The sequence below is a fragment of the Homo sapiens genome, chromosome 17, assembly GCF_000001405.40.
Source record: "Homo sapiens chromosome 17, GRCh38.p14 Primary Assembly".
NCBI lineage: Eukaryota > Metazoa > Chordata > Mammalia > Primates > Hominidae > Homo > Homo sapiens.
Window position 1 is genome coordinate 44,026,761 of NC_000017.11, and position 12,397 is coordinate 44,039,157.

Here is a 12,397-nt window from a genome sequence, read left to right on the forward strand (position 1 = left end):
CTAGCCTGGGCGACAGAGCAAGACTCTGTCTTAAAAAAAAAAAAAAAATTAGCTGGGCATAGTGGCACATGCCTGTAGTCCTGGCTACTCGGGAAGCTGGGGTGGAAAGATTGCTTGAGCCCAGGAGGTTGAGGCTGTAGTAAGCTGTGATCACACCACAGCACTCCAGCCTGGGTGACAGAGGGAGACCTTGTCTTAAAAAAAAAAAAAAAGTCAAGGTCTACTAGACAAGAGCGAAGGGGTGAATAACATAGATTATCCCTAGAATGGGAAGAGAAGCAGAACTATTATCAACCTAGGGCATGAATCTGAGCCTCTGGTTAATCTCAAGCCCCTCAGAATTAGTTCAAGTGATCTGGTACAAGCAGATTATACTGGAAAAAACTTCAGGAATCATTGTCAATAATCTTTAGAAAACATTACCAACAGAAGGTTGCTAGAGCCTTGAGCTCCGCAAAATTTCCAATTTTCAAGTCACATAGCAGTTCACAAAACTCAAAACGGGCTCATTTAACATATTATGTCTGAGCAATTTCCTAAAACATGAGGACCACTAGTGCCCACGAGTTCACTAAAAATAAGTTTTACAACCAGGCGCAGTGGCTCACACCTGTAATCCTAGCACTTTGGGAGGTCAAGGTGGGTGGATTGCCTGAGCTCAGGAGTTCAAGACCAGCCTGGGCAACATGGTGAAACCCTGTCTCTACTAAAATACAAAAAAAAAATTAGCCAGGCATGGCGGCGTGCACCTGTAGTCCCAGCTACTCGGGAGGCTGAGGCAGAATTGCTTGAACCCGGGAGGCAGAGGTTGCAGTGAGCCATAATCGTGCCACTGCACTCCAGCCTGGTGACAGAGTGAGACTCCGTCTCAAAATAAATAAATAAATAAATTTTACTCAAACGACTTTATTTCCTTTTTTGATAGGGCTACCAGATGTCTATCATAAACATCTGGATGTTATTAAAATCTCTCAGGATATCCCTTTGGATAAGATGAAAACACAGAAGACAGTTTATCAAAATTAAGAATAACACAACATTGGGATGGACAACTAGTAGACTGCGATACAGAATCAAGATTTTTTTAAAGCTCTTAATAGGTTAAAATTGTTGGTTAAAAATATTTAATAACGGGCTGGGCGCGGTGGCTCACACCTGCAATCCCAGCACTTTGGGAGGCCGAGGTGGGCGGATCACTTGAGGTCAGGGGTTTGAAACCAGCCTGGCCAACATGGCAAAGCCCTGTCTTTACTGAAAAATACAAAAATTAGCCAGGTGTGGTGGCGCATGCCTGTAATCCCAGCTACTCGGGAGGCTGAGGTAGGAGAATCGCTTGAACCCAGGAGGCGGAGGTTGTAGTGAGCCAAGATCGCACCAGTACACTCCAGCTTGGGTGACAGAGTGATACTCCATCTCAAAAAAAAAAAAAATTTTTTTTAGCAGCGATAAATATAAAATTCAGTATTTAGGAATCTAAAATCTACTTACACAAGCTGGAGAAGACTTGGCATAATAGCTACTTCTGTAAAGAAGTCTGGGCAGATTTTGCTGATCACATCAAACTGAATCAACAGTGTGATGTATCTGCCAAAAGAAGCTAGTTGCTATAGCGTCCAACATTGCAGTAAATGGTTGCAGGAAAGGTCCCAGTGTGCTAACAGACCATGTCCAGTGCTGGGACCACACTCAAGAACTAGGAAAGCATCCTTCAAAAGCCATCTGACTGGAGAAGATAGCTCTGAGTCACATTTGCCGATTTAGCAATGTCCATGCCCCTCACCCAGGGGCTGTCAGCAAAAGAAAAACCCCTGAAAGAGGGACTACCATGCAGGACACCTGAGCATTAACCTTAGTTCTAATGGTGAGCCGCCACTGGAGGTCAAGAAGGGCACGGACAGCTGCCACATGTTGCCTCCTTGAGTAATGGGTGCCCCATCAATGAAAGTTCAAGTAGAGGCAGTCTGCTGAGGATGCTATAGAGGGGATATGTAAAGTGGGAGGCGGGACTATACTGTATAAACTCTAAGAGCCTGGCATCATTAAGTGCTAGAAAATCTGTTCTAAACTTCTGATACCAGCTCCAGCATGGGACACATCCTGTTTGCACCGTCGACACTGAATGCTGAGTTACATGGCTACATGTCCTGCCTGGAGCCAGTACATAAGGGCAACAGCAGGACACTTTCAGAAAAGTCTCATCTGAACAAACTGAAGCGTACATGATGACAGCACACATTTACAAGAGTGAAGGATCCCATATTATACTCACTCCCTTTCATAAATATCCTCAGCTCAACCCCTCTCCCTCCACAGTGCAGACTGGACACGTCTCTCAACCTGGCTGTACCCAACTATTCACCTTCTCTGTGTCTGCACTAAGGACACTCGATATGATTGGCAGAGGCACACAATGGGTGCCTGTTTACCCCCAAAATTCATGAGCATGCATCTCTAAACGGACACTCAATAGTCTTACCCTATTCCCCTTTCAGGTTAACTGGGCCACCAGATAGGAAGTCACTTACCCTCACCTCCCTGACAAATCTAGACTCAGCTCCTAGCACTGCCCTGTCAGGGAAGAAGGGCCCCTCCTATCTGAGGCAAATCTACCCACTGTGGCCAGAGATCCCAACCTCGTCTTCTCAGAGTTCACAGGTGACGTGACAGTCACTGGATGTCTAACTCCATCCCACGCTTCTCTAAGCCCAGGCTTGTTATCCAGCTGCCCATTTGCCATCTGCTCTTCAGTGTTTCCTGGGCAAGATAAAATGGCAATTCAAAAATTCCAGATTCTTCCACAAACTTCTTCCTCTCCTATTGTTTGCCACCTACCTAGAAGGCATCCATCGTTCCTCTCTGTCCCTCACCACCTTGCCCTCACATTCAGTGCATCAAGTCCTGTCAGCTCTGAAACCAATTCTCTGCCACCACTGTCTCCCACCCAGACTGCTGCACCGACCCCTAACCCAGCAGCCTCCTTGCTTCCGCTGCCACTGTCTGATACTGGACCAAGTCCCATGGCTGCCCATGGTGCCAAAGAACCCAGTCTCTAGGATAACTGTAAGGTCCTGCACCACCTGGCTCCACCTACTTCTCTATCGTGCTGCTCAGCAGGCTTCAGCTGCCTGTCTTCTGTCAGTTCCTGAACATCCCAAGCTCTTGTCAACCTGACTTTAGCACCTGCTGTTCCCTCTATCCGAACACTCTTGGCTAGCACTTTGTTCTTCAGATTTCAGCTGAAATCACATCTCAGTGGCCATCTATAAATATTCTCTCTAGAGACATACACGCCCCTCCCTCCAGTAAGCATAAGCAACAACTTTAAGCTACGAGACAGACCAGAATAAAAGAGGCCAGATTAGTAAAAGAATCCACCACTTGCTGGTCCCTCCACGAAAGACCTATAAGAAGTTCTTGTCTAACACTGCAGAAGTCCGCACCAGAGGACCAAAGAAAAAGGAGAGGTTAGTTGATTAGTCACTGGAAATATGCCTTAGCCTCACCTTACCCAGCCAATTAAGAAACTTAGCTCCAATTTAGACTTTTCAACAAAACTGGAAATTATAGAAAAATGGGAGAGGCCAGATAGGAAGGGGGACTACAATCTGACCAGACTTGGTCCCAGCTGCCAGAGTCTGCTCTAGAGAAACCTGAGGTAGATTCCTGCTGCTTTCCGGTCTGGAACCAGGTGCATCTCTCTTTCTTCCCCTGTATCCTTTACTGGTTGTCCTCTTTCCAAACTTGAACTCTAAGCTTTCCTCAAAACCTACTCCTGGATCACTTTTCATATTGACTCAGGCAACATATCCAGTTATCATGCTGATGACTTTAAAAACTCTATTTTCCGTTCTGTCTCAACAGCTGGGTGCTAGCAAATACACAATGAGTGAGTAACTTTCCCTGCCTTGGAGCCTCAAGACACCCCAATAGACCACTAAAGATAAATCTAAACAAATACCGAAAAGGCAACTCACACATGCCAAATGACATGAGTGACAGAAACAAATTACTGAAGGTATCAGTTTCCATTCCAATTGTCAAGAATGGCTTCACGGGTAGCCCTGAAGCAGGGCATTGTAGAGCAAGATAGAGATTACTGAGGTTGCAAGTAATCTTAGAGATCATCTAGCCCCTTACCTTATATATATATCAATTCTAAGATGCTAATAAATTGGAGTATACCGTTGACTTAACTTTGTGGACTGGAACCAGTTGGCAAGTTTCTTTTGACATCATGAACTGCACTTTCAGAAACACAACGGGCAAGGAAAGGTGTCTCAAAATCTAGAAAACAACATTTGTATAGGAACGAATGTGAAAGGATAAAAAAAGAAGTTAACAATGTTTTAGGGGGTGGTAGATGAAAATGTCTGCCTTGTTTTCTAGTTTTTCTGTAATGAGCCACGTAAGGTTGTTTTTCGTTTGTTTTTGAGACAGAGCCTCGCTCTGTCACGAGGCCGGAGTGCAGTGGTGCGATCTCAGCTCACTGCAACCTCCACCTCCCGGGTTCAAGCAATTCTCCTGCCTCAGCCTCCCAAGTAGCTGGGACCACAGGTGCACACCGCCACGCCCAGCTAATTTTTGTATTTTTAGTACAGATGGAGTTTCACCACATTGGCCAGGCTGGTCTTGAACTCCTGACCTCAAGTGATCCACTTGCCTCCGCCTCCCAAAGTGTTGAGATTACAGGCGTGAGCCACAGCGCCTGGCTGTGTAAGGTTTTTATAACATAAAAAAACAAATTTGTTTTGAAACTATTACAGCCACACAATGTATCACCAGTGGATGGCAGCCAAAGAGCATCTTTTTCAGATACTTCATACTGTTTATCTGATTATGTTAAACACCTAAAATTTAGGCAATATATGCAGATGATTCCAAGTTTCTTTTTTTTTTTTTTTTTTTTGAGGCGGAGTCGCACTCTGTCGCCCAGGCTGGAGTGCAGTGGCGCGATCTCGGCTCACTGCAAGCTCCACCTCCTGGGTTCAAGTGATTCTCCTGCCTCAGCCTCCCGAGTAGCTGGGACTACAAGCATATGCCACCATGCCCGGCTAATATTTTTGTATTTTCAGTAGAGACAGGGTTTCACCATGTTGGCCAGGATGGTCTCGATCTCCTGACCTCGTGATCGCCCGCCTCAGCCTCCCAAAGTGCTGGGATTACAGGCGTGAGCCACCACGCCCGGCCAATTCCAAGTTTCTTAAAGAGGAATTCTCTGGCACTGATGGCCTCCAGCAGTGATAGGAAAGCAAACCTACCATGTAAATCTAACATCTTCCAACCAGGCAACCAGCTCCCTCCCACACTCCCACTTCTACCACTGTCCTTACCACTCATCCTGTACATTTCAGCTTCCAGCACTACACATTCTCACCACAGTACCCTCCATGCTGTAGCCGCCACACCACGCGGGATAGCACACTCGATCTGTGTATGAATGAAATGCCTCTATTTCCTTTACCAGTATGTTTCAACACAACAGATTTTGAGACACACATTCTTAGCTTCAAATATGTCAGGGAGCCTTTACCCTCCTCAATCAGTAGTTCACAGGCTGCAGCTACTGAACTCATACTGAAGTGCTTGAGCAATTTTCAAATTTTCAAAACACCAAACAGAAATCAGTAATGAGCTGCTGAGACTTGAACGGCACAGATTCAGTATCAACTCACTGTGGTAAGGCTGTTTATACAATAATTGGATGCTCTAAATAGCATTAACTCCAAAGGCGTGTGCGTGGTGGTGGCGAGATAATCAGGTGCTGGGTATAGAGGTGTGTGTGTGTGTGTATATTTGGGGAGAAAGGAGAACACCCCAAAACAAAGCCGAGGAGACACTGCAAAACTACTGCCCATACTGCATCATAGATGTAAGCTCTCTGCACCACGCTCTTCCATGGTTCAATATGCTTTCAATCTAGGTGGCAATTTCTGCCATTCTCACTAGTCTCCCGTGTTCCAGCCTCATTCTGGCAAACAAAAGTGAGCAGTACACATGCCATCACTTTGGAAAGTCCCACTGCATTAGGAACCCGTGAGTGTTAAGCCTCGGGCCTTCTTCCAGCTCCGCTACCACAGGCAGGTGGGGCACTCTAGACAAGTCACTTGGCCTCAGTGGAACTCACTCTCTACTCTGAAAAATAGTTTTGAAAATTATCAAGGCCAGGTGCCGTGGCTCGCGCCTGTAATCCCAGCATTATGGCAGGCCGAGACGGGTGGATCACCTGAGGTTGGGAGTTTGAGACCAGCCTGACCAACATGGAGAAACCCAGTCTCCACTAAAAATACAAAATTAGCCAGGCATGGTGGCACGTGCCTGTAATCCCAGCTACTCGCGGGGCTGAGGCAGGAGAATCAGTTGAACCCGGGAGGCGGAGGTTGCAGTGAGCCGGGATCGTGCCATCGCACTCCAGCCTGGGCGACAAGAGTAAAACTTCATCTCAAAAAAAAATTATAATCAAAAGCATTCTTAGGCACTCCAAGGAAGGGTTAAGGGGTGAGATCTGTGAGACCCAGGGCAGGGCTCTGAGACCCCTACCCCTGCCTGAACCAGATCTGCCCAGGTGCTTTACATATTAGCCTCCCTTCAAATACCATCTAAACAAATTTTTTTTTTTTTTTTTTTTTTTAAAGAGACAGTATCTTGCTGTCACCAGGTTGGAGTGCATCCTGGAGTGCAGTGGTACGATCACAACTCACTGCAGCCTCAACCTCCCTGGCTCAAGTGATCCTCCCACCTCAGTCTCCCAAGTAGTTGGGACTACAGGCATGTACCATCGCATCTGCCTAATTTTTTTTAAACGTATTTTCTGTAGAGATGGGGGGTCTCACTATGCCACCCAGAATGGTCTTGAGCTCCTGCCTTGGCCTCGCAAAGTGCTGGGACTACAGGCATAAGCCACTGCACCTGGTCTAAACTAAGGCTTCTAAAGCAAACATGGAACTTCTAGAAATCATCTACTCCAATCTCACCTCCAGATTTAACTGTCCAAGGATCAAGCTAACATTTATACTAACATTTACAGAGCACTTTCTAAGTATTAGGCTTTTAAAATATCTTATTAACCCTTCATATCAACCCTAGGAGATGGACATTATTTCCACATTTACAGTTGGGAAATTTAAGGCTAAGAAAGATGAAATGACTTATCCAGGAACAACATGAGGAATGAAGTTATCAAAGCCCTTGTTCTTTATTCCACACCTCACTGCCTGCCTTTCCAACCACACTAACTCCACCTCCTGAACTGTTTAAAGTTCCACATCATTTAACAACTAAAACTAAGGAGTCAAAAGTGCTTCCTGCCAAACCCAGTTGGTACTCACTTCCCCCCATTTACAGAATTAAGACCAATGGGGGGGGACAGGAAGATGTGGGACACATGATGAAGAGCTTCCTCCCAGGCTTGCTGTTTCCCATTAATTAATCACCTCCACTCATCGTATCTCTTAGGTTTTATAGATCTTACAAGGTCTCTTCCCTTCTCCCTCTCTCACCTTCTCTAAGTCTACATTCCCATGTAGGCTAAATCAAAGGCTCAGTTCTTTAAATCAAGTTCAGACCAGTGGCAGGTGGATCTGAAAGTTTACTTCTCAGCTCGCCGACCATTTGTGCCTCCAAACAGTCCTGTAACAAATGGTTCTATGTATGTGACTACAGCCTTTTCCCCACACTCCACCTACACACCACTCCAAACCCTGGACCCCCATCTTAAATTATACCCTGCATTATATTTCTGGATGAGTCCTCGGGGGTGAAAAGAGAGGGTAAATAGTAGGAAGAAGAGACTCTAAAGAGAAAGGTCAAATCAGACAGACATACCTTGGATCCTCTCCCCTGGGGCCTCTGAAGGACGCACAAACCTGAGACATGAGTGATGGTTAAAAAAATTTGGGTTTTATTGTTTTTGCTAAATAATACTAAAAAAAAAATTTCATTTTGAAGGCAGGGCTTGAATTATTTAATTTGATCCATTTATTTAATTAAAAAAAAAAGGAAGGGGAAAGAGATCATGGCCAAAAAAATAGTAGTTAACCCCCACCCCACCCCCAAAGCTCTAGCCAGTCATGTGAGCATCACCCACATCCCACTCAGTGCCTGATATTCGGATGGTGGCATACTCTGCCCCAGGAGACTGCCTGAAGGCACGGGGCAATGGGTGCCAATTTTAGCTCTCAGCAGGTTAGTCAACCAGACAAACTGGTGGGCTAAAGTCCAGAAATTCTTTCCAGGTTTTCTGCTCATTGGCTGAGCACATACAAACTGTCATAAGCCTGTAAAATTTAAGGGGAGTTGGGGTGGGGCGTAAGAGCAAAAGGACAGCAGGAGAAGAGAAATTACGGGTCACCCAAGTTTTTCCTGGGCTAGTGGCTCTGGATATAGATTTAAAGAGAGGTCAGAGTAAATGGACTCCAGGTTTCTTATCAAAGAAAACTATCCCTCAATGAGGAGCTGAGATGTGCCATGCAAGAGAGTTCTTCCTGCAGAGGCACAGGAGAAAGGGCAGCTGACTCTCTCATGTGGAGAGAGTGGCGAGGAAGGTCTTCTAGTACCATGAAGTAAGACAGGCAGAGGGAGAATCCTGAGGTTTGGGCCAAATGTGAGACTGGTACACACACAGTTAAAGACTAAAAAGCCATCAGGAACCCTCAAAGCCAAATTCTATCTGCACACTGGCTCTACAAAGTTCGCAGCAAGAATCTCTTGCACCAAGTCAAGTTAGTGGCCTGGCTATGATGGATGGTGGGGAGGGCAATACATTTTTATTTTCAGAGGGATGAGGTGGGAAGAACAGCCATGATCTAGTAAAAAGAGACCTGCAAGAAGCAGAAAATATTTAGAGAACATTTTAATATATATTTTCATATATATATTTAAAGTTAAGAAAAATAAAACTAATTCAAGCCATGCCCTGTGCAAAAAAAAAAAAAAAAAGAAAAAAGAAAAAAAAAGGAAAAGAAAACAAAAATTTAAAGTGAGACGTTTGCTGCTCTGGTCTCAATTTAAGAATCACAGTCAGCTTGTTACTTTTATTTTGGAAGAAAAGATGTAAAAGTTTCTTTCAATCATTCAGAAGGCAAGTGTAGCCACTTATAAAAACAGAATGGCAGGAACAAACTAGGAAAGGAAAGTCAGAAGTAAAGGGCAGAGTGGGAAAATAATTTTCAAAAATAAAATTAACAAGGTGACTGTTCCAGAAGAGGGCTGTGAAAAGGACATGGTGGACCGAAGTCTGTTAGTCAAGTAATGATTCAACTTTTAAATTATTCTCTTGTTCTTTTTTGTTGGGTGTTTTGTTTGTTCAAGTCTAAGATTTGGAAATGCTGACCCTTTGTTAAGAGCCAACAGGACATATAGGATCCCTTCCCTCCCCCGGCCTGCCTCCGCTGAAGCCACCACCAGCGCCTCCTTGGCTGGATGCTGGAAGAGTCCTCCATGTGTACGGACTCAGGATGACAGGGCAGCCTCCTTCTGTGGTTGCTGGGCTTGTGAACGTTGCAGTATCTTTTGGCTTTCCACGTCTCTAAAATGTTTTTCAACCTGAAAAAGACCAGGCAACCCAGGTCAACAAAGGAGATGCGGAAGAAAGGTCTCCCAAACAATCCAACCCAGGTTTCCACAGCCCCATCCTGGCTGTCCAGCCCATTGGTGTCCAGGCACCTTTGCCCTTGCTGTCTATTGGCCTTCCCAACCACAAGGTAGGCCAGGGCCTCCTGCTTCAGCCACATTTTTTTGCAGTTTCCACTAAGATTGGCTAGAAGAAGGTGAATCTACAAACTAAACTATAAAATATAATAAGGGGAGATTATCATGACCTAAACTCCTCCTCTCTTCTATACCCAAGTACAAAATGAAAAGCTGCTGGGGGAATTACAGTCTTATCAAACCTCCTACATCTACAATGTTGGTCTCTCAATGTTCCTCAGAGGAAAAAAAAAAAGCAGGAGTGTTTTTTAAGTTTGTTTTAACAAATGCTAAGTCCAGTGACATATGTAGGGTCAGAGACACCGACGGCAACTGATTTATACCAACCAGATCTTTCTAGAATGGTACCTGCAGCTAAGAAAAACCCAATATGGGGCCAGGCGTGGTGGCTCATACCTGCAATCCCAGCACTTTGGGAGGCCAAGGTGGGCAGATCACTTCAGGTCAGGAGTTCGAGACCAGCCTGGCCAACATGGTGAAACCCCATCTCTAGCCGGGTGTGGTGGCATACGCCTGTAGTCCCAGGTACTCGGGAGGCTGAGGCAGGAGAATCGCTTGAACCCGGGAGGCGGAGGTTGCAGTGAGCTGAGATCGCGCCACTGCACTCCAGCGTGGGCGACAGAGCGAGACTCTGTCTCTAAAAAAGAAAAACTCAATATGGGATGAGAGAAACTGCTCAGGCCCAATACCATGGAACAGTCTTCCTAATTCCAAAAAGCCAGCAAAGGACATAGGGTCACCCACTCACTTCTTTCCACACCACCCAGTGGTTCCATTCCCACAGGACTGCAGAACCCCACAGTACAGGGAAGGCAGGGAGGCCAGACAGGGCCTCTGCTGCTAGAGGAGGCAGAGACTGTAGCACAATGTCCTGGTCTGGTGCTAAAGACTGAAGGCCTGAGGAACCATCCTCTCTCCCCTAAAGTCTGAAGGCTCCTTTACTTACTATTTTGCGTACATGGCTCAGTGCACTCCCCTCTTTGCCTTTACAGTTTTCCACTTGATATGGGGGTGTAATAACAACTTCTTCCATGACTACGATGTTTTTTTCTTGCCATTTACAGTCTTTAATGCTGGAAGGAGAAGACAGCAGGCGAAATGTAACCTCTTGGGGGCATCCCACATCTCCTGTCTGATGAATAAATAACTCCAGAAGGCTGATCCCAAGTTCCCAGCTCACCACTCAGCCAACAACTAGATGCCAGCAGCCCATATAGTAGCCAAGAAACATTCCTTGGGTGCCACTGGCTAGAAAAGCAATGAAACTCATGCACATTTATTCTTGGGAGAGCCCAGAAATTGTTACTCTGAAGCATCAGAGATCTGGAGAGCCATAAAAATGTGATAGTGGCCTCAAGAATCCAAATTAAGATAGCAGCCTAGGGCAGAGGCTGGCAAACTTTTTCTCTTAAGGGTCTTGTAACAAACATTTTAGGCTTTGCAGTCCATATCATCTGTTACAACTAGCACTGAGTTCTGCCATAGTTGTACAAAAGTAGCATGGACAATAGGTAAAACAGATGAGCAGATGTGGCCTGCTGGCATAGTTTGTCAACCATTGGCCTAGGGAGAAATACCACCTTTAGAAAGACAGGAGAACAGGTCGGGCGCGGTGGCTCACACCTGTAATCCCCGCGCTTTGGGAGGCCGAGGTGGGTAGATTGCTTGAGTCCAGGAGTTCGAGACCAGACTGGGCAACAGGGCAAAAACTCGTCTCTACTAAAAATACATACAAAAAATTAGCCGGTAGTGGTGGCATGCGTCTGTAGTCCCAGTTACTCCGGGGGCTGAGGTGGGAGAATCACCAGAGCCGGGGAGATTGAGGCTATAGTAAGCTAAAATCGCACCACTGCACTCCCAACCTAGGCAATAAAAGTGAGACCCTGTCTCAAAAAAAAAAAAAAAAAAGAAAGGCCAGGCACAGTGGCTCACGCCTGTAATCCCAGCACTTTGGAGGCCGAAGTGGGCGGATCATGAGGTCAGGAGATCGAGACCATCCTGGTCAACATGATGAAACTGTCTCTACTAAAAATACAAAAATTAGCTGGGCGTGGGACTGCGCGCCTGTAGTCCCAGTTACTCAGGAGGGTGAAGCAGGAGAATCGCTTGAACCTGGGAGGCAGAGATTGCAGTGAGCCAAGATTGCACCATTGGACTCCAGCCTGGTGACAGAGTGAGACTCCGACTCAAAAAAAAGAGAGAGAGAACAAACTCCCCATCTTCCTATGATCTGTACTCTGACCCTTATCACCCATAATGGGAGCTGCTCTTCAGACTGGCTCTTCTCAATTATCAGACAGTTGGGCACTTGCCAGACTGGGAAAACCCATTCCAGTTCACACTTGGGAAGCCCCAGGGCAGCTGATGCGACTGGGAGTTCCTTCACATACCTGTAAATGTTCAGATACTCACACCACAGCCTCAAACAGCTCTGATGCCAGCTGCCATCTGTGCACCAGATCCAGGGTGGTTAAACAGAGTAACAGATGGCAGTGTGGGGTGGGGGGAGGCGGGGTGGAGAGGGGTGTCAAATGTTCCAGTTTTTCAGCAGCTAGGGAAGCTAGTGGAGAGTCAAATGACTTCTGCTGTGACAAAATGTTTTTTTTTGAGACGGAGTTTTGCTCTTGTTGCCCAGGCTGGAATGCAATGCACAATCTTGGCTCACCACAACCTCCACCTCCAGGGTTCAAGC

The 12,397-nt window shown here is 46.0% G+C and overlaps 1 protein-coding gene across 5 annotated transcripts in view; it reads right to left on the reverse strand.

Annotated features, from left to right (window-relative positions):
- Positions 1-7,567: 7,567 nt before the first annotated feature.
- The window catches only part of LSM12 (LSM12 homolog), a 33,260-nt gene continuing 28,430 nt past the window's right edge, over positions 7,568-12,397 (reverse strand). For 2 of the 5 annotated variants that reach the window (NM_152344.4, NM_001369486.1), the window contains 2 exons: positions 10,652-10,778; positions 7,875-9,540 (listed from right to left, as the gene is read on the reverse strand). In NM_152344.4, coding sequence (NP_689557.1) covers positions 9,448-9,540; positions 10,652-10,778 — 220 coding nt within the window. In that variant the 3' untranslated portion in view covers positions 7,875-9,447. Of the gene's footprint in view, positions 9,541-10,101; positions 10,343-10,651; positions 10,779-11,328; positions 11,425-12,397 lie in introns of all 5 variants that reach the window. The other 3 variants (NM_001369484.1, NM_001369485.1, NM_001371445.1) reach the window with 3 other exon arrangements.